The sequence below is a fragment of the Homo sapiens genome, chromosome 14, assembly GCF_000001405.40.
Source record: "Homo sapiens chromosome 14, GRCh38.p14 Primary Assembly".
In the NCBI taxonomy this organism is placed as follows: Eukaryota; Metazoa; Chordata; class Mammalia; order Primates; family Hominidae; genus Homo; species Homo sapiens.
In genome coordinates, this window is record NC_000014.9 from 71,095,080 (window position 1) to 71,118,090 (window position 23,011).

The following is a 23,011-nucleotide window of genomic DNA, read 5'->3' on the forward strand; positions in this document are numbered from 1 at the left end:
CTCAGATGAAGCAAATTGCTTTTTTCATCTGTTCTCTTGTCCTCTATTTAATTGCTTTTGTAAAATATCTTTCCTCCTTATTTATTTTCCTTTATTAGTACTCTTTGAGGATTACATAGTTATTAGAACTAAAATAAACCAATCAAAATCCAAATGAGTTTACATATGATATGTGCTGAAAATTTTACAGTCTGTGATATCCTTGAGGAAGGAATAATTTCATATTAATTTTTATGTTCTCCTTGTTTGGTACAGTGGACTGTAAATGTTTGTTTAATGAATGAGTTTCATTGTTCTAAAAAAATAGTGTATCCTGTGCATCTGCTTGTAGCATCTCAAGTATATTTCTAAAATTCTTTTGAAAACTTTTACCATTAAAACTGATAACATCTCTTGAATATTCTTAAAAATTAAACATTGCTCAATAATAAACATCTTTCCATCACTCCACATTATTGTATAGTATCCCCAAAAACCAATCGTTGCCAGTAATTTGATATATCTTTTGTGATTTCTTCTAAGCACATACATTTTCATCTATGTGTGTGATATGCTCCTTTTTAAAAATGTAATTTTGCTATATGAATTAATTGTAACATGCTATTTTTTTTCATTTAATATGACATGGACATCTTTCCAAATCACCACATACAGAGGCACCTCACAGTTTTCAATGTATGTAGAACTTTACATATTTATTCAACCATTTTAAAGCCAGTGAAAAGAGATATTTAAACAAGATGAAACATTTTCCACTTTGGGCATGCCTGATAATTTCCAGCTTTTTGTTCATTTTCTTAAGAATATGATTATTGGCCAGGCGTAGTAGCTTGTGCCTGTAATCCCAGCACTTTGGGAGGCCGAGGCAGGAGGATCGCTTGAGCTCAGGTGTTTGAGGTCACCCTGGGCAACATAGCAAGACCCTGTCTCTACAAAAAATTTTTTAAAACATTAGATGGGCCGGGTGCAGTGGCTCACGCCTATAATCCCAACACTTTGGGAGGCTGAGATGGGCGGATCACGAGGTCAGGAGATCGAGACCATCCTGGCCAACAAGGTGAAACCTGATCTCTACTAAAAATACAATAATTAGCTGGACGTGGCAGTGTGTGCCTGTAATCCCAGCTACTTGGGAGGCTGAGGCAGGAGAATCACTTGAACTTGGGAGGCAGAGGTTGCAGTGAGCTGAGATTGTGCCACTGAACTCCAGCCTGGAGACAGAGCTAGACTCTGTCTCAAAAGAAAAAAAAAATGAGCTGGGCATGGGGGCGTGTGCCTGTACTTAGGAGGCTAAGGTGAGAGGATTGCTTGAGCAAAGGAGGTCAAGGTTGCAGTGAGCTATAATCACACCACTGCACTCCAGCTTGGGTGACAAAGTGAGATCCTGTCTCAAAAATTAAAAGGTAGAAAAATAAATTACTATGCCTGTATCTGGACTTTTATTTTTCATTCAAGTAATTGTAAAAATACTACTCTACAAAGATGGCATTCCTTTCCTAATAGAACTATTTTCTAAAAGATAGCACATCATATGGCATCTGGCTCTCTGCTTGTATAGGAAAATGTGAACGCAGTATTTAAAAGAAAAATTAGGAGAGTTGGTGTATGATATACAGAAGTTAAGAACTGCTTATCAGTATATTATGAATGCTATCTTAGATCAAGTGGTCTAGAAACAGGTTAGAGTCCAAGATTCTTGTGAATTAATCAATTGAGGGTTGCACTCAAGAAATGTTGTAAAGAAGTGTTAGAAGGCAGATGGAAAAAGGGAAGTAGCTCAGTAAAATGTGTTTTAGCTGAATTCTAGCCTTAGCTGGGTTCTAGAAGAAGCTGTGGAGTTAGCAGTATCTCCAAAAGTTATGCTGTATACTTCCTTACTTCTCACCCCATACAGAGAAGGATGTACCTCCCTCCTCCTCCCCACCCCGCACCGGCATCTCCTACCCAGGCAGCTCCATTAGCTAAAGGCAATTCCTAGAAGAGAGGAGCCTTCTAAGAATTATCCTAATTTGCTTAGGATAATGGCCTCTATCCACAGCCATATTGCTGCAAAAGGAAGTGACTTGATTCTTTTTTATGGCTGCGTAGTATTCCATGGTGTATACGTACCTCATTTCCTTTATCCAATTTACCATTGATGGGCACCTAGATTGATTCTGCATCTTTGCTATTGTTGATAGTGTTGCAATGAACGTAAGAATGTATGTGTATTTTTGGTAGAACAATTTATTTTCTTTTGGATTTATACCTAGTAATGGGATTGGTAGGTCAAATGGTAGTTCTGTTTCTTTGAGAAATCTCCAACTGCTTTCCACAGTGACTGAACTAACTTGCATTTCAACAGTGTATAAGCATTCCCTTTTCTCCTCAGCTTTGCCAGCATCTCTTGTTTTTTGACTTTTTAATAATAGTAATTCTGACTGGTGTGAGATGGTGGTTCTGATTTGGATTTCTTTGATGATTCGTGTTGTTGAGCATTTTTTCACACTTGTTTGCTCCTTGTATGTCTTATTTTGAGGAGCATCTGTTCTTATCTTTTGCCCACTTTTTAATGGGGTTGTTTTTTGCTTATTGAATTAAGTTATAGATTCTGGGTACTAGACCTTTGTTGGATGCATAGTTTGTGAATAGTTTCTCCCATCCTGTAGGTTGTCAGTTTACTCTGTTCACAACTTCTTTTCCTGTGTAGAAGCTCTTCAGTTTAATTAGGTCTCACTTGTCAGTTTTTGGTTTTGTTGCAATTGCTTTTAGGACTTAGTCATAAATTATTTCCCAAGGCTGATGTCCAACATGGTGTTTCCTAGATTTTCTTCTAGGATTCTTATATTTTAAGGTCTTACATTTAAATCTTTAATCCATTCCATCTTGAGTTAATATTTGTATATGGTGAAAGATAGGAGTCTGGTTTCATTCTTCTGCATATGGCTAGCCAGCTACCCTAGCACCATTTATTGAATAGGGAGTCCTTTCTCCATTGTGTATTTTTTGACAACTTTGTTGAAGCTCAGATGGCTGTAGGTGTACAGCTTTATTTCTGGGTTCTTCATTCTGTTCCATTGGTCTGTATGTCTGTCTTTTACCAGTACCGTGCTATTTTGGTCACTGTAGCCTTATAATTTGAAGTCAGGTAATGTGATTCCTCTGGCTTTGTTCTTTTTACTTATAATTGTTTTGGCTGTTCAGGCTCTTTTTTTGCTTCTATAAAATTTTAGGAGTTTTTTCTAATTCTGTGAAAAAATACATTGGTAGCTTGATAGGAATGGCATCGAAGCTGTAGATTGCCTTGGGCAGTATGGCTGTTTTAACAGTATTGATTCATCCAGTCCATAAGCATGGAATGTTTTTCCATTTGTGTCATGTCTGATTTCCTTCAGCAGTGTTTTGTAGTTCTCTTTGTAGAGATCTTTGGCCTCCTTGGTTAGATGTATTCGTGTGTGTGTGTGTGTGTGTGTGTGTGTGTGTGTGTGTGTGTGTGAGAGAGAGAGAGAGAACATTGTAGATGGGATTGCATTATTGATTTGGTTTTCGGCTTGAATATTATTGGTTAATAGAAATGCTACTGATTTTAGTATGCTGATTTTGTATGCTGAAACTTGAAGTCATTTATCAGTTCCAGGAGCTTTTTGGCAGAGTCTTCTGGGTTCCCTAGGTATAGAATCATATCAGCAGCAAAGAGAGATACTTTGACTTCTTTTCCGATTTGGATGCCTTTTTTTCCCCGCTGCCTGATTGCTGTGGCTAGGATTTCTGGTACTGTGTTGAATAGGAGTGGTGAGAGTGGACATCCTTGTTTTGTTCTGGTTCTCAAGGGGGATGCTTCCAGCTTTTCCCCATTCAGTATGAGGGCTGTGGGTTTGTCATAGATGCTGCATCCTGGAGATTTTGGCATGTTGTATCTCTGTTTTCATTTATTTCAAATAATTTTTTTATTTCTGCTTTAACTTCATTTCTTTACGCAAAAGTCATTCACAAGAAAGTTGTTTAATTCCCATGTAATTGTGTGGTTTTCAGAGATCTTCTTGGTATTGATTTCCATTTTTATTCCACTGTGGTCCAAGAGTATGGTTACTATTATTTTGATTTTTTTTTTTTTTTTTGAGACGGAGTCTCACTTTGTTGCCCAGGCTGGAGTGCAGTGGCGTGATCTCGGCTCACTGCAAGCTTGGCCTCCTGGTTTCCTGCCATTCTCCTGCCTCAGCCTCCCGATTAGCTGGGACTGCAGGCGCCCGCCACCACGTCTGGCTAATTTTTTGTATTTTTAGTAGAGACGGGGTTTCACCGTGTTAGCCAGGATGGTCTCGATCTCCTGACCTCGTGATCCACCTGCCTTGGCTTCCCAAAGTCCTGGGATTACAGGCGTGAGCCACCACGCCCGGCCTATTTTGATTTTTTAATTTATTGAAACTTGCTTTATGGCCAGGCATGTGGTCGATCATAGGGTATGTTCTGTGTGCAGATAAAAATAATGTATAGTCTGTGGTTGATGGGTGGAGTATTCTGTAGGTGTCTATTAGATCCAATTGGCCAAGTGTCAAACTTAAGTCCAGAGTTTCTTTGTTAGTTTTTTGCCTCAGTGATCTAACACTGTCAGTGGGGTATTGAAGTCCCGTACTATTACTATGTGGCTAAGTCTTTTTGTAGGCCAGTAAAACCTTGTTTTATGAATCTGGGTGCTCCAATGTTGGGTGCATATATATGTAGGATAGTTATGTCTTCTTGTTAAATTGAACTTTCTATCATTAGGTAATGACCTTTTGTTTCCATTTTTACTGTTGTTAAAGTCTATTTTATCTGATATAGGAATAGTGACCCCTGCTCTTTTTGTTTGTTTGCATGATAAATCTTTCTCCAGCCCTTTACTTTGCACCTATGAGTGTCATTGCATGTGAGATGGGTCTCTTGAAGAGACCAGACAAATGGATCTTTTTTTTTTAATCTACCTTGCAACTCTGTGTCTTTTAAGTGGGGTGTTTAGACCATTTACATTCAAGGTTAATATTGATATGTGAGGTTTTGGTCCTATTAGGAAGTTGTTGGTCCTATCATGAAGGTCCTATCATGTATCATGAATGGTTGCTTCGTAGTTCTACTGTATGGTTGCTTTATAGGGTCTGTGGGCTGTGTTCTTAAGTGTGTTTTTGTGGTAGCAGGTATTATTTTTTTGTTTCCATGTTTAGAACTCCCTTAAGGATCTCTTATAAGGCTGGTTAAGTGGTAACAAACTTCCTTAGCACTTGCTTGTCTGGAAAAGATTTTATTTCTCTTTCACTTATGAAGCTTAGTTTGGCAGGATATGAAATTCTTGGTTGGAATTTCTTTAAGAATGCTGAAAACAGGCCCCAATCCCTTCTGGCTTATAAAGTTTCTTCTGAGAAGTTTACTATTAACCTGATGGGGTTCCCTTTTTATGTGATCTGACCTTTTTCTCTAGCTGCCTTTAAGAATTTTTCTTTAGTGTTGACCTTGGACACCCTGGTGACTGTATGCCTGGTGATGTTCATTTTGTATAGTATCTCACAGCTGTTCTCAGATTTCTTGTATCTGGATGTCCACCTTTCTAGCAAGATTAGGGAAATGCTCTTGAGTTATTCCCTCAAATATGTTTTTCAGGTTGTTTACTTTTCCACCTCCTCTCTCAGGAATGTCATTAATTGGTAAGTTTGGTTGCTTTACATAATCCCGTATTCCTCAAAGACTCTCTTCATTTCTTTTATTCTTTTTTCTTTATTTTGTCTGACTGAGTTATTCCAGAATACCAGTCTTCGAGGTCCAAAATCTTCTGCCTGGCATTTACTAACTTCCTACACTTAGGAAGCAATTAAGCCTCTTTAAGCTTCAGTTTTTAAACATGGAAAATGCAGGTATTATCAACTCAACCTACTTGACAAGATTGTTGTAAAATTCCAGTGAAATAATGTAGAACATTTTACATTATGAAGCATTATTTATGTATACAGTATTATCTCACATATCTCAACCCCCCAGCTAACAGGCTCTATCCTTAAGGATATTCCTTCTTACTCTCCCTCTTCTCCTTTCACATAGCACAAATTCTGGTCAGTTGACTTGAGTGCAAATGGATTACTTTACTGGGATACAGAAATTTGTCAGCCTCCCAACTATAAATATGAAAGCAGCCTATCATATTTACATTTCTTTAATATACCATTTCAAAACTGCAGATTTGTGTTACAGTTATTTCAGTATATGTCCTGTCCCTGTTAATGTGTAGGTTTGTAATAGGGAGATACATTTCATATCTTCTTTGTTTTATCCATGCTGCCTGCCAGACAGTCTTGTACATGGTAGATACTGAATAACTATCAAATGAATAAGTAGTTATTAAGACCAAGATACTTTTCAGAGAAAACTTTACCAACTTCTCTAGGACTAGGACCCCAAATCTGTGCTCAGAGCTGCTAGCTTTGAGCTGTATCTTAACTAGGTGAGAGGCAGGATAAAGTGATATATTAGAACCCATTTTAGAGATACGACTTTATGTGAAAAGTATCTAGTTAAGAAGAAACACAATATAGAGACCTTTTATGTAGTTTTAGCCTTCCTTACCTAATAGTGACGTAATCCTTCAACAGAAAAAAAAACATGAATAAAGATATGAAAAACCAACTTGAAAGAGAAAAACAAAACACATAAAAACCAGAAATGATGTTTATTCATCTAGAACTTAGAGGAGAGGGTTGGATTGAGGAATTTACAAAAATAGTATAGCAGTAATGAGCTACTTCCTAACCCAGTTATGACTGAGAATCTATAATTTATCTCTAATAATATTAACATGTGTTGAAATATTCATAATAAACCAGTTTTTAAGAACTTTCACTTAGTAACTGTAGAAGTTATCAGTTCTTTTATTTTCCTTTAAAAATTTATATATTATTTTTGTATTTAGGATCATTTTACTTCTCCAGATGAATATGATGACCCTACTGTGCTCTATGAAGCCATAGTATCTCATGAGAAGAACCTCGTAATAGCCCATGAAGGGGACCCTGCATGGCGGAGTGCAGTACTTGCCAACTCTCCCTCCTTGCTTGCTCTGCGGCATGTCATGGATGATGGCACCAATGAATATAAAATCATCATGCTCAACAGACGCTACCTGAGCTTCAGGGTCATTAAAGTAAGTGTTTGAGGTATTTATTTGGTCCAAAACATAGAAGTTGAATAACTTGATCTAAAATTTTTTTTTTTTGAGACAGAGTCTCACTTTGGGCCCAGGCTGGAATACAGTGGCATGATCATGGGCTTACTGCAGGCTCTCGACCTCCCTTTGCTCCACCTCAGCCTATCGAGAAGCTGGGACTACAGACATGCACCACCATGTCCGGCTAATTTTTGTGTTTTTTGTAGAGACAGGGTTTTGCAATGTTGCCCAGGCTGGTCTCACACTCCTGGCCTCAAGTGATCCACCTGACTCAGCCTCCCAAAGCTGTACAATTACAGGTGTGAGCCACCACGCCCAGCCTTGATGTAAACTTTTAAAAAGTAATTGAAAGTTTTTTCACAGAAAAAAAATGTGATGACCATATTACATTTGTCTTTCTTGTTTATGAGCACTTAATTTTACTTATTTTTTTTTAGTACTTTATTCTGTCCTCTGAAAGTTTCTCATGTGCCATAAAGCCTTAAAATTTTTGGTTATTTCAGTTTTGACAGTCTTTTATCCATTAAATGGCAGGTCTTATATATTTTATATATGCAATTTGGGCAGCATCTCTTTTTAAAAAGTCAGCACCATATTGCTAATATAATATGATTCTTAGGTTGCAAAATGATAGCATACCATGTACTTAATAAAGATCAGAAGTTAAATAGTTCATTCTAACTTTTGCTTGTTTGTTTTTTTAAACATCTCAGTGCTTTAAGAGGCTTAATTTCTGAAATTTTATTCTGATAGTTTATAGTTATTTTTTAAATTCACATTAATCGACCCACAAATGTCATAAACATTCTTTCAACCGTAAATATTTATCTCTCATTTCTATAAAAGATGTCTATAGTCTTATTTATCAGTGCTTTGCCAAGTTAAAAAACTAAATTGACTTTATTTTACTTGATACTTTAAATACAGAGCATGAAGAAAGAGCTGTGTAGATACTTATTATTTAGCAACCTGCTAATGACAAAGGGAAATTGGCTACCTCCTATTTAAATGTGACCTACTTATATTTGTTCCCCGCTTTTCACAACTGGTTATCATAATATCTTTTGTATTCCTCCCATTTCTGCTCTTCTGTTTCTGTGAATTTTATTCTTGGCCCCTTAACCTAATTCCCTTGTGTTCTGGTTTTCAGGTGAATAAGGAATGTGTCCGAGGTCTTTGGGCAGGGCAACAGCAGGAGCTTGTTTTTCTACGTAACCGTAACCCAGAGAGAGGTAGCATCCAAAATGCAAAGCAAGCCCTGAGAAACATGATAAACTCATCTTGTGATCAACCTATTGGCTACCCAATCTTTGTCTCACCCCTGACAACTTCTTACTCTGACAGCCACGAACAGCTTAAAGACATTCTTGGGGGTCCTATCAGCTTGGGAAATATCAGGAACTTCATAGTGTCAACCTGGCACAGGTGAGCCAAGGGATTGTATTATTCAGTGCTGGTGTATTCCTGACCCTCTTAATCTAGGCAGTGTGCATCACCTGGGAAGCTTGTAGAAAAAATTACAGGTGCCATGGTACAATATGAACCCATTATTTCTGAACTTCAAGAAGTAGAATCTGAGCATTCTTATCTTCAAAATCTTATTAGATAAATCTGATGTATAACTGGTTAAGAACCATTGCTCCATTACTTGGTAGAATCTTGGAAAATTCCCTTTATTTGTTTAATTTTTTTAACTTTCTGTTGTATATTACCACTATTAGAATATTTGAATATTTGTTCTGTACAAACGGGAAGTTAAGAGAAAAACATAACATGCAAGTTGATTACTTTGTCTAGTTTACCATTCTGTTCCAACACTAGGGGGAGCACTCTGTACACATTGAAACTTGATGGCAATGCAGAGATACTACTGCCTTTTTAACAATACATTCTCACTCAGATCTGAAATCTACAGTGTTTTCAAATATTCACATGATTTTTTTTCTCTGTCTTTTGTCTAGTAAATTATGTCTGGTGTAGGAACATCATAGTTTGGATGATGAAGAAATATTGCAGAACATAAGGGTTGTTCAGATTCTTAAATATAGCTTAAGAAAACCAAATCTGGCAATTAAAGCAGCAAACTCTCAAATGTTCAATCTCCGCCCAAACAGAAGGCACAATATAAGTCAGGGGAGTGTTCAAAGAAATTTTCTTTCCAAAAAAGATCTAATATGCTGGAATTACCGTAAAGAGATTCTTTCCCCCTAAGAAAAATGGCATAGAGTGCCCAATTGTCCTCGTTTGCTTAGTCACTCTCCATTTTTTAAAAATAGGAAAAATGATTTCAGCACCTCTCTTCAAGTACACTATATTAACAGTATAAATAAATTAGGTTTTCAGGGGTTACATACTTCAGAGTCACTGAACAGACATTGGCACTGGTAAGAATTCTGTTTCCAGGCCCGGCGCTGTGGCTCACACTGGGTAATCCCAGCACTTTGGGAAGCTGAGGTGGGCAGATCATAAGGTCAAGAGATTGAGACCATCCTGGCTAACATGATGAAACCCCATCTCTACTAAAAATACAAAATTAGCTGGACATGGTAGTGGGCGCCTGTAGTCCCAGCTACTCAGGAGGCTGAGGCAGGAAAATCGTTTGAACTTGGAGGTGGAGGTTGCAGTGAGCCGAGATTGTGCCACTGCACTCCAGCCTGGTGACAGCGAGACTCCGTCTCAAAAAAAAAAAAATTCCATTTCCAGCTGTGATCTTAATGGTACAACTGAGTTATATACAGTTCTTTATTATGGTGCAGGACAGATAATAGAGCATATGAAAGATTTGAGGCAGTGAATATGACGGGTATAGTTCTTAAGCCACTCTTTGAAAACGTAATGAGTTTTTTTGTTCCTAATATTGATTGCACCATAAAGACTTTAAAAGGTGAACATTAGTAGCATTTGCAGTTCAGAATAGCTGGAAAAAGAATAAAATACCCATTTTGAAGTGATCTTGGAATAATGCTTCCTACTCTGGTATTTGTTCCTAGGCTTAGGAAAGGTTGCGGAGCTGGATGTAACAGTGGTGGCAATATTGAAGATTCTGATACTGGAGGTGGGACTTCCTGCACTGGTAACAATGCAACAACTGCCAACAATCCCCACAGCAACGTGACCCAGGGAAGCATTGGAAATCCTGGGCAGGGATCAGGAACTGGACTCCACCCACCTGTCACATCTTATCCTCCAACACTAGGTAATGTGAAACAAAGTTATATGTCTAATGTTAGCTTCTTAGCCATAGAGGCTGGTTAGTATATGTGTATAAAGAGGATTACATGTGGTCCACTTGGAAATTCAGAAATAGAATTTTTTTTTTTTTTTGAGATGGAGTCTTGCTCTGGCTGGAGTGCAGTGTCACAGTCTCGGCTCACTGCAAGCTCCGCCTCCCGGGTTCATGCCATTCTTCTGCCTCAGCCTCCTGAGTAGCTGGGACTAAGGCCCCTGCCACCACGCCCGGCTATTTTTTTGCATTTTTAGTAGAGACAGGGTTTCACCATGTTAGCCAGGATGTTCTCCATCTCCTGACCTCATGATCTGCCCGTCTCGGCCTCCCAAAGTGCTGGGATTACAGGCGTGAGCCACCACACCCAGCCCAGAAATATAATTTTTTTTATTCCAAGTTGTACATTATTCCATTTGTTCATATTATTTTATATATATAAATATATATTTTATATATTTGTATATATACTTTTAAAACTTGATAATTCAACATAAACATTTTAATATATTAAGGATTCTTTGAAAATATAATTTTTATTTTTTTTATTATTTTTAATTTTTTGAGACAGAGTCTCACTCTGTTGCTCAGGCTGGAGTGCAGTGGTGCCATCTCGGCTCACTGCAAGCTCTGCCTCCTGGGTTCACACCATTCTCCTACCTCAGCCTCCCGAGTAGCTGGGACTACAGGTGCATGCCACTGCGCCCAACTAATTTTTTTTTTGTATTTTTCGTAGAGACGAGGTTTCAACCATGTTAGCCAGAATGGTCTCGATCTCCTGACCTTGTGATCCGCCCACCTTGGCCTCCCAAAGTGCTGAGATTACAGGCGTGAGCCACCACGCCCAGCTGAAAATATAATTTTTAAAGGCTAACAATATTTAACTATTATAATTAACTTCTCCCCTGTTGGACAATTACTTGGTTTTTCTTCTAACAATGTTGTAATAGTCTTTGTATATAAGTCTTTATAATCATTTATTATTTTCATAGGTTAGAGACTTTAAAAATGAAATCACTAGGCCAAAGCCTATGAGAATAAGACTCTTGATATATAATGCCAAAAATCTTTCCAGAAAGGTTTTTTTTTTTTTTTAAACCAGTTGGTACTCTCACCAGTCCTATCAACCTTCCCAGCTTTGAAGATTGTCAGTTCCTGCCTCTGCTCCTTGCTTGCTCCAGTGGGGGCAGGAGAAGGGGTGGTCTTTAATTTTATTCTTTTAATTTGCATTACTCTGATACCTAAGAATGGAAGTTTTTAATGAATTTATCAGCAGCTCCTCTTTCTAAAGTGCCTAGTTACATCTTTTGCCTATTTTTCTATTTGGTTATCTTTTTCTTACTGATTTGTGTTTTATATTCTGGATTTGAGCTCTTTCAGTTTTCTGTACCACAAATATCTTTTCCCATTCTGTCCCTTGTCTTTTCATTCTCTTACTGTGAAGAGTTACTTGCCTTCTTCTGATGAGAAGTCCTTAGTTTTAGTGAGAACAACTTACTATTCATTTATTTTATCATTAGTACTTTTTATGTCCTAATTAAGAAAATTTTCCCTGTCCCTAGGCCCTCAAAGTATGCTTTTATTAATTTCCCTTTGACATGAGATCTACAATCCACCTGGTGTGCAGAAGGAATCAGGTCTCAACTGTCTCCATATGGCTGGGCAGTTGATCCAGCCATATGAAGAAGTTGATCCTCTCCCCAACTGCCCCCCTGACTGCTTCACGTGAATCAAATAAAGTTCTAAGACATTTACTTAAATGTAAAGACATTTATTAAATTTAAATATATATATTTTCAATGGGATTCAAGTGAAGAGACCTGATAGATCAACATTTTGGATGTTCAGAAATACGTATCTGAGATCTGTTTTCTTTTGTGGTTTTTGTAATTTTTTTTTTATTTGCTGAAGTTTTTTAAAGTTCAAATTCTGTGGCATATGAAAGACATAATGAATAATTAAATATTTTTTATTTAGGTGAAAACCTAAAACTTTCAGTGTTCTTTAAATGTACTTTTTGTTCTTACCTTGATTAGCTCTTTTTATTTTTAGGTAAAAAGTACATGTAGCTATGTTTCAATGTAATTAATTTTACATTACTCTTATGAGTCAAGAAAAAGACAAGTCTGAAGAATCATATCAAGCCACTTGAAAAAGGATGCAGAAGAACCTGCTTTTCAGTGCCACTGATCATTCCGATTTAGTAGTGATCCCCAAATGTATATGAAAATTACAGCGTGGTATTCACTGTCTCTCTATAGACAGTGTAGCTTTTCCTTGGTAGAAGTTGAAAGGGCAGTAATACTATACTTTGAGAAATAGTAGTTATAGAGCTTGCCACATAGTAGGGCCTTAATAAATATTTCTTTTTAACTGGCAAAAATTATATATATTTATGGTATACAACATCATGTTTTGATATGTGAATATATTGTGAAATGATTAAATTAAGCTAGTTAACCTATCCATCACCTCATATACTTCTTTGTGATAAGAATGTTTTAGAGCTACTCAACAATTTTTAAGCATACAACACATTATTATTAACTCTAGTCCCCAGGCTGTACAGTAGACCTCCAGAGCTTGTTCCTCTTGACTCAGTGGAACTCTGTACCCTTTGACCAACACCTCCTCTTCCCCAGCCCCTGGCAACCACCATTCTACTCTCTGCTTCTGTGAGTTCGGGGTTTTCAGATTCCACAAGTGAGATCATGCAGTGTTTCTTAGTAAATCCTTCTGACTGTCTCATTTCCGTGAGATATTTCATTTCTGATATATTATGGAAGTATTCTTGTTATTTTAAAATGCTTCTGTGAAACATATTTTAGGATTTATCCCAACCTTAAGTCCTGATATTTGCTGTAAAATATTTAATTATTAATTGTCTTTCATATGCCACAGAATTTGAACTTTAAAAAACTTTAGCAAATAAAAAATATATTACAAGAACCACAAAAGAAAATAGATCTCAGATACGTATTTCTTTTTCTTAACTTTAAAAGTTTTAGGCATAAACGTTAAGTTCTGTCAGTTCACCAATTAATTGCTTAGGGGAAAAAGTCTTAGAAACTGCAAAACAGAAGTATTGTGTCTGAGTCATTCTACTTTGAGTGAGTGCTGCTGTTTCTCCTCCTAGGCACTAGCCACAGCTCTCACTCTGTGCAGTCGGGCCTGGTCAGACAGTCTCCTGCCCGGGCCTCAGTAGCCAGCCAGTCTTCCTACTGCTATAGCAGCCGGCATTCATCCCTCCGGATGTCCACCACTGGGTTTGTGCCTTGTCGGCGCTCTTCTACTAGTCAGATATCGCTTCGAAACTTGCCATCATCCATCCAATCCCGACTGTCGATGGTGAACCAAATGGAACCCTCAGGTCAGAGCGGCCTGGCCTGTGTGCAGCACGGCCTGCCTTCCTCCAGCAGCTCCAGCCAAAGCATCCCAGCCTGCAAACATCACACTCTCGTGGGCTTTCTTGCGACAGAGGGAGGTCAGAGCAGTGCCACTGATGCACAGCCAGGCAACACCTTAAGTCCTGCCAACAATTCACACTCCAGAAAGGCAGAAGTGATTTACAGAGTCCAAGTAAGTAAGCCCAGAGGTGGTCTTGTGCTGTTTTTGTTACTTATTTGTTTTTATTTCTTATTTGTTGAATGAAGGACTGTTGTGAATACACACCTTATCTTAGTCTCAGGACTAGAATATTTTTGAATGTTGGGGAAAAATTTCTTCAAACTTAAAAACTGAAAGCAAACAGTTTTTGTGATGGTGATATATGTTCCTTGTTCAGCCACTGTCTCATGGACATTGCAGTGAGGTCTACCAGAGGGCTGAAAAGAATTCAAGATGTAGCTCTTAAGATTTTTTTTTTATTCCATTATAGGAATTTAAAAAGTAATTCCTCTCTGTGAAAAGCATTTTGTTTGAGATTACATAATTTTTCATCATCAAGAAAAAAATGAATTGGAAATGTTTTTATTTACCATGTAGATTGTGGATCCCAGTCAAATTCTGGAAGGGATCAACCTGTCTAAAAGGAAAGAGCTACAGTGGCCTGATGAAGGAATCCGGTTAAAAGCTGGGAGAAATAGCTGGAAAGACTGGAGTCCGCAGGAGGGCATGGAAGGCCATGTAAGTTCTTTTACAAGCTGGCGGTCTGGGGCTCTGCCTTTTTTGAAGTCCGCCTCACTTGGATGCATGGTTTTAGCTGATTTATACTTAAACGTATAATTTTCAGACAAAATTGCTACTACTAATCCTAGGTAGGGGTAAGAGTTTGTGAGTATATTCCAGGTCTCCAGTGCTAACTTCTTGTTTTATTCTGAATCATTAGGTGATTCACCGATGGGTGCCTTGCAGCAGAGATCCAGGTACCAGATCCCACATCGACAAGGCAGTGCTTCTGGTCCAGATTGATGATAAATATGTGACTGTAATTGAAACTGGGGTACTAGAACTTGGGGCTGAAGTGTGAGCCAGTGTTTATTATAAAGACATTTCTTTTTCCCTCTCAATTCCAAGGCATTGGAAAAAGAGAGGAACAAGCAGAAGATGCCTGCAGGTATCACTTTGATCCTATGTGGGAGCGACTGAAAATAGAATGAGCTTGGTTAAGCACCTCTCCTTTGCCCTTCACCCTGACTCCTGTCACTGTCTCCATCCCCAAATAAAGCTGAAATATTTTTTTAAGTTAGCTGCCGAGAAAACATTTTGCATGAAGGATAAAGTTCTGTTAAAATACATCCTTAAAAAAAGTTTTTCCTATGCATTGCCTATGCTTTAAATCAACAAACTCTTCATTTCTAAACTATGATCTCATATTTTTCTAATTTCTTTGCCAAAAATAATTGCCATGTTTTGTCATAGAACATGAAATTCATTTACCTTGATTTTTAAGAACAGACCAGTGTAGAAATGTTCCTTTTGACTTATAGCAGTATAAAAGTTTAATGTACAGTGAAAGAGACTATGAACAGACATAGATTTATCTTATTCCTTGAGCGCTAAAAACTTTAATAAAAAAAACTGCACTAATTTTTTACAGCAATGCACTAAAGTCTGAGATTTCTCAGAACATTTATTTATATATAAAAATAAAATACCATTATTTAAATTGCCTTTGGGATTAGCCCCTTCCCTTTCCTTATAAACACAGGTAGCAGGAACTGTGCTGCTCATTTTTCTGTTAGTAGTGTGTACTTCATGCCAGGACATTGGGTATTTTCTTTAAAGTGAATATAGAATCTCAAGATATACGTAGCTTCATCATTGACATTTCCCAGAGCCAATAGTCAGCGGATCGGTCTTGTGAACACCACTGCCAGCTCCTGTGTCTACATCTCAGAGGAGCCCATGTGCTCTGCTTCTCTCCACCAGAGCAAGCTCTGCTGGGCGTGCTTCTGGGAAGAAAACAATTTTCTTTAAGAAGAAGATGAATGTCCAGGAATTTAAAGAAAGGATCGATTGCCTTTTATTTATGAGTTTCTAGCTCTTGAAGTTATTCACATGCAGTTCAGTTAGTCAAGTAAAATTTTTTTTCAAATAAAAGTATCCAAGTGGTGCAGTTATTATTATATCCCTCTTTAATAATTTTGCTTTTTATTTTTCCCCTCTTCTTTTTCTGTTACTTGAATTTTATTTCCTGTAATTTATAGTGTGTAGCTGTAAATTGAAATATTTATAACTGTGAAATTGACTTAATTCATATGTTGTCTCATAACTTTATTTTTTTTAAATGCATATTCAGGGAAATATATTACTCATATTTACAATTGGGCGATATAGGAACTTCAATTTAGATTTAATTTGCAACTCTTAGCATTTTTTAAATCCTTGATAAAATTTTCCCTTTTGGTGTGAAACTCCAAAGAAAATTGTACATCTCCTCTGAGCATTTAGGAGCAGCCATCTTTCTACCCCTTGTGAATAAATCATTGAAAGAAACAGGTAAAATTAATTTTAATGATACATTTTGTTTCACCCAGTATAGTCAAAGTATTACTATTTCATCATATGTCACTAGCCATATTTCAAGTACTCAATAGCTACATGTACCTAGTGGCTACTGTATTAGACAGTACAGATTTAAAGTATCTTTTGTTGAGGTGACAGAAGAGAGAAGCTGTTTTTCCTACCAATTCTGATGTAGATCTCACATTATAGCATAACATTACAGTAGAAGGAATGAAAACTAAGAAAGTAAATAGTGAACATACAGAACTTACTGCATTTCCACTTTAAAACCTATTTATTTTCCCTTTTTCTAATTTTAAACTTTTGTGGTCATTCAGAACCTAATGTGCCTTGTGTTGACATTTCCATAGACTTCACACTTTACAAAATTTACTGTTTAAAAATACTTGTCAAATGATTTACTGAACCTTTATACAAAAGTACCCTTTCTAAATTGACCATTTAAAAATGTATTTTTGTGATACCGTCATTATGTTCTGCATTTGCCTCATTTTGGCAGATCTACAGTATGCCATTAAAGTTTAGTGTTGTTTTTGGTTTTGGAGGGTTTTTTTCTGAAACTGAATTTATAATCTATTTCTCTGTATACGTATATTTTTAAAATCTTCTGAAAGGAACTATGTTCCCTGCTGCTTCTTCCCTTTCTGAAGTGAATATGATCTTTTCATGGTCATTGCCTAGATAAAAGTAGAGCCTTTTCAATCTTAGATGGAAGATAATTCATTTTCCCACACAGAAAAAAAATCTGACCTTTACATGATTTAATCTGAAGGGCTAGAATTTTTTAATTTCTAGCCCCTCCTCCAAAAAAATTTTAAACACATCACATACTCTGAAAAGTCAGATTTCAAATGCAAGACTAGACTTTATATGGAACATATATGTTGGGTTTTGATTTTGGGTAGCAATTGACATATATTTTTCTCAAAACAAGTTGAATTTTGTTAACATATATAATTCTTTAGTGAATTTATAAATTAGGAACCCTGAGAAGAAGCCCTGTTGTTTTTCTTAAGAGTCTAAAACTGACAATCTTTTAAAAATCATAATACTTTTCTAGTAATTGCATCAGGGAATTGGTGATAATTGAAGAAAGATCCATTTCTTAAGAATAATTTGATCTAAATTATTATATGGAAATAAACATACTTGTGTTAACTAAATTGATCATAAATTCTTGTTCCTGCCTCACCCCTCACCCCCCAGAGAATAGTGAGTGACTCGTTTAGATTCTCTGCTTTTTTTCAGTTATGTACAAGACTTCAGCATACATTAATGTCTTTAGTTTATAAATTTGCCAATGCTTTAATTTCCATAATTTGAAAGTTAAAAGATGTAACTAAAATACTAGCTTTTTTATTCATTTCCTTTTGGTGGAGTTGTATGATTGAAAACTTTGCTTTTTCTTGTTTAATTCTTCCGCCACCCCCTCTTTTGAGAGAAAGGTAATCGTGGAATGAGTTATAAATTATTGCCTTTTTTTCCTTTATTTCTTTCATTCAGTGGCAAAAAACATTTTATAACTCCTAAGTTTTTGGTTAATCTTCCAACTTATACCTTGGTGTGAACTCTCTTTTTACACCATTTTCAACACTGGATAAAACTTTAATGTTGACTTTTTGCTAAAGAACTTTAATTTTTCCAAGAATCTAGATTAACATAAGATGTTGATATTTAAGGAACTTGGAAGAGTAAGTGGTGAGGCTGTATGTATATTTTTTAAGAGATTACCTTTTAGGAAATTAGTGAACAAACTTAACCAGTGTTCTGCCTTCTTTGACTTTGTTACTGGAGGATGATAATCTATTTCTATTAGATTCGAAGTATTTTGGAAAATATTTCAAGTATATCTGAACTACTTATAATTCTTAAAACAGAAGTAGTCAGACAATATTTGTATCCTAAGTGAGATATGGAAAATTACTCTGTATACTAAATGTCAGGCAATGAAAATGTAAGTTTTTGTGTAGAAAACCCATTAAGAAGATGTGTTTTTCTTTCTGAATTAGTTTATTTTTCCATCACATACCAAAATATAAAAATCAGCCTCACATTTTTCAGCAAGTTTAGCTTATAGCCTTGATAAATTCCTCTGTGCTTCTGAGCAGCATCCTTCTGCCTCTGCTTAGCAGCTCTGCATTTGGTGGATTGCTGTTGTGAGTCATTCATCCAGCACTGGGCCTTTTAAGCTGAAGATTCACCCAGTGTCTAAAGTTGTCCTTTTCTTATAGCTAGCTTTCAAGCATCTTTCCTCCTAAATAAATATGTGACTTGAGAAAAAGGTAATAATGATTTTGTCAGAATTCTTTGAATTTATATTTACTAGCTACTTAACCATAAACTGCTGTCCAGATTGTTAATTTCATTTATATTTATTTTAATTAATTTGTCATGAATATGGACAAAGCCTTTTCTGGGGTGTGTGTGTGTGTGTATGTTTGTTTTTTAAGTCGTCATTATTCATTCGTATTCTTTTTCTGTGTAATGTAATCATATAAAGTTACTTTGGACAGAGACCCAGTTAATTTTCTCTTTTGATAGGATACATGGTTTAGATAAGGTATAAAGTGTCCCTTTTTATTCTAGAGGCTTTTCCTTTAATTCAGAGATTAGTGGAGATAATAACGTCAGTCAAGGCTAATGTGGTACATGGAACTTGCTAATGGAGGTTGGACATTCTGTTTCAGTCTTACATGGATATTGTTTCATTGGTGTTGAGGAAGAAAAAAATTAGATACTACCATGCATTGGGACAGCATAATTCTAATATTACATTGAATATGGCTTTTTAAAAATAAGTATTAAAAAGCCAATCGTTTTCTCCATTTATCTATCTTTTTTGTTTGTTTTTAATTTGGTTGATTGATATGCACCCAGGCCGTCTTATTTTTACTTGTTAAATGTCTGTCTAGGAAGAACTGTGATTGGAAAGGAATTAATTATTATACAAATAAATCTGGTAGGATATGAGTGGAGTAAGTTTGCTTGAAACAGAAGTATATTTTCTACTTTGAATCACCTCACCAGAGTCATCTGTCAAGAATTATGTATAACAATTTATCTTTATTGCCTACATACAACATACTTTTTCTGAATTAAGATAACTTCTATTTGTGAGTTGAACTTCATTATCTGCCATTTTGTGGAATCAACCTTACATTCTTTGGTGGAACTAGAGCTGATTGTCACCACAAGGTTATATGACAACTCTGTTCTAAGACTTATACCTATTATATAGGGTTATACCTTTTTTCTTATGCCTCAGCTCTGTACCTGACAATTTATGATTCAGTGGAGCCAAGCTAGAAGGAACAAAGGTCATCTAACACTGTGATGGGGATGAATTCCTGAGTTTTACCTGCACAATGAGGTGGTGCCCCGGAATTCACAACAGAGTAGTGATAGAGCATAAGATGGCTGCTCCAGATGACTCTTGGGTTTAGTGTACTTGTGATTGAACAAGATTTTTTATCTATGAAGCTTGATTCTACAACCAAAATAATAGAAATGGGGGGGGGGGGGGGAATCATGTCTGCTTATGCTTTTTAAAAGCTTATAGTTTAAGTAAAAGTAAAATGTAAAAACTGATTAAACCTATACAAGTCTGGCAATGAGCTCTGCATGAGGAAATGGAAGGAGGAATATTGAAAATGATTCTAGGAAAGTGAACGTAAGAAAGGAAAATGGGTTTTCCTTTTCTGATCATGGGCTCTGGAAAGTATTCATGGCCTTTACCAGCATTCAGTATAAACCAGAGATAAGGACATATGTACTTACGTGTGTCTGTGAGTGTGTGTGTGTCTGAGTGTTATTCTGAACAGCTTGTAAATATTGTAGTTGTTTAAAATGGAAAATAAAAGCTGAGTTCTTTTGGCAAATATATTGCATCAAAAATACAGTATTGACAGTGGATAAAACACTGAGGAAATAAATTTTTTTTCATTTTGCCTTCTGTCCATTTTTTGTCAAACTGAGAAAAATTAGAGTACACTATATTAAGTTCTGTATGGCATGTTCACACTTGGTTCTGAAATCATTTTAAACAAGCTTTGGCCTGTAAACATGTGCTTCAACTTGCAATAGATCAAAAGCGTACATCATACTTCATGTTAAAACATGGTCTGTTTCACACTTTTCTTAGTGCAAGGGTTGTAGTTTGTCTTCTGAATTTATCTCGATGTTACATATTAACAATATTAGATAGAACATGTAGGATAAAAATGTTCAATCACAGACTAAACTACAATACAGAAAATGGAAAGAACATTTGGATTATGGTCATCAAAGGCAGGTACAAACTTGTTTGGTATATTTGCAGTGTGTACTAACTCAGTGATTTCACATATAATACAGAAAATGCAAGCTAATTTACAATGAGAATAGACATATTCTTGATTAAATCACTTATAATCCTTTAATGCATCATTTTAACTATTTATTAGTAAGAACCAGAACCAGCAGGATACAGATTATATGCCTTTTGCATCAGAGTCCAAATAATTTGCTATCTATCTTTCCTCTGGGGTCACAGTGGCATAAAACATCTTCAAAGAAAGGCATTCCCTGGATTAGTTGCATTCCTCGTAGAGCCAGAGATTCAAAGGGCTGTTGACGTGAAATTTAGGTCCCATAAAACTTCTTCCTTATTCTTTTTTTTAATCCAGATCCTGCACAACCTTATTCTTAAAGTGCAGTTTATGTAAGATTTTTCCTCCTAAAGGATCCAAAAATGTTTCGCTGAACTGTAGCCAATGAATCTTGCCATGTTAGGTGTGTTTTCCCCTGGGGAAGGGTGGAAAGCAACACTTTGTGAAGTAAGGGCATGACAGAATGGTGGCTTCCTGGGTATATAAGCACTTACTTATATAAAATATTTATTCTTAGCCTGAGCAATAGAGACCCCTTTTCTACAGAAAAACTTGAAAATTAGTCGAGCACAGTGGTGTGTGCCTGTAGTCCCAGCTACTTGGGAGGCTGAGGTGGGAAGATTACTCCGCCAGGAGGCGAAGGTTGCGGTGAGCTGAGATTGCACCACTGCACTCCAGCCTGGGTGACAAAGTGAGATGCTGTCTCCAAAAAAAAAAAAAAAATTTTTCCTCCATAGGTGCTTATCCAAGGCAACTAAATATAATTAAGCTTCATCCTTGGGAAAATGTAATTTAATGCAAGAGGATCCCAAGGTTGCTTTGCAATTTCTCAAGCATTAACAGCAAATAACTGGAGATGAATCTACCTTGTCTGTGAAACTTTTAAAGATGCCATTCAGTTTCAGTGCCCAGTGAACCATGCCAAAAGGGGAAAGTCATCTTTCAGTCCGAGGTTCCTTTTTTCTTATGAGAGCACTATTTACGGATACAGAAGCAACCGGCCCATATAAAAATACTCCACATCTGTGGCCTCATCTTAAAGCAAATATTCTTGACCTGTCTTTATCATATAAAGTCAACATTCCAGGATAGCACTGAACTTAACCAGATACCCAGTAGTGCCTCTGTGTGTTTGTAATACAGTTGACCCTTGAACGACGCAGGGATTAGGGGTGCCAACGCCCGGCACAGTTGAAAATCTGCATATAACTTTTGATTACCCCGAGTCAACTCCTGTGAACAAAGGCTATCTTGAATTTGGAGGAAAGAGACTATTTCAGTGAGATACAGAAATAAATACAGAGACTTTATTTTTGTGAGATACAGAGATTTGGCTTGGCAGTTATTTTCTTTCTGCAGTTCAAAGGAATCATTCCACTGTCTTCTACCTTTCATGATTTTTTTAGTCTTGTTGCTCTTTTAAGGGCAATGTATTTTTAATCCTCCAATTATTTTTGTCTTTGATTTTTAAAGCTTTCCATATAGTGCCTGTGTGTAGTTTTCTTTGTATTTATCTTGCCAAAGTGTTTTTTATTATCACTGAATCTTGGCCATTATCTCTTCAAATATTCCTTCTGCCATATTATTTTTCTCTCCTCCTCTCACACCACAATTATACACATATTTTACCATGTCCTTTATCTCATGTTCTTTTCTGAATTTCCTATCTTTGGTCTCTCCATATTTAGTTTAAATATTTTATTCTACATATCTTCCAGTTGTTATTTTTCTTTCATCATCTGTATCTAATATTCTGCTAAACTGATCTATTGAGTTATTAATTTTAATTTGTATATTTTTCAGTTCCAGAATTTGCATTTGATCCTCTAATATATTTCCAGTTACCTGCTGATGTTCTTGCTCACTATTTAATTTATTAAACATATTAACTACAGTTAAAGCTCATATATGATAATTCCAACATCTGGGTCTCCTGTGATTCTGTTTCTGTTGTTTTTTTTTTCCCCCTCTTGTTTCTCTGTTTTGTCTTTTGTCTGTGTATTTCTGATTGAATACCAGACACTGGTATTCATTCAGAATACATTCTGATTGAATGCCAGACACAGTATATGAAAATCTGTACATAATTGAGGCTGTAGATGTTATAATCTTCCTCAAGATGATCTACTTTTACTTTTGGCAAACAAGGTAGGAAATAAGGGAATGAGCTGTTTGGAAGATGATCTTCAGCCTTCTGAGAACTGATCTGTTTCTCTTTTACTACTAGGGTGTAGCCCTTTAGATATACAAACTTAAAGACTGGGTTTCATCTTTGGCGGGCCCTGAATT

General features: G+C 36.4%; 1 protein-coding gene across 23 annotated transcripts in view, besides 1 other annotated feature; it reads left to right on the forward strand.

Moving 5' to 3' along the window:
- PCNX1 (pecanex 1) overlaps window positions 1-20,303 on the forward strand; it is a 207,924-nt gene extending 187,621 nt beyond the window's left edge. For all 23 annotated transcript variants that reach the window (XM_005267420.5, NM_014982.3, XM_005267422.5 and 20 more), the window contains 6 exons: window positions 6,911-7,141; window positions 8,316-8,590; window positions 10,156-10,361; window positions 13,525-13,967; window positions 14,373-14,513; window positions 14,716-20,303. In XM_005267420.5, the coding sequence (XP_005267477.1) occupies window positions 6,911-7,141; window positions 8,316-8,590; window positions 10,156-10,361; window positions 13,525-13,967; window positions 14,373-14,513; window positions 14,716-14,856 (1,437 nt within the window). In that variant the 3' untranslated portion in view covers window positions 14,857-20,303. The remainder of the gene's footprint in view (window positions 1-6,910; window positions 7,142-8,315; window positions 8,591-10,155; window positions 10,362-13,524; window positions 13,968-14,372; window positions 14,514-14,715) is intronic.
- Window positions 21,653-21,947: a silencer, noted in NCBI's record as "tiled region #3093; K562 Repressive non-DNase unmatched - State 24:Quies". NCBI's record gives its function as "represses a minimal TATA promoter and a strong SV40 promoter by Sharpr-MPRA in K562 cells {active_cell/tissue: K562}" and the evidence as "EXISTENCE:reporter gene assay evidence [ECO:0000049][PMID:27701403]".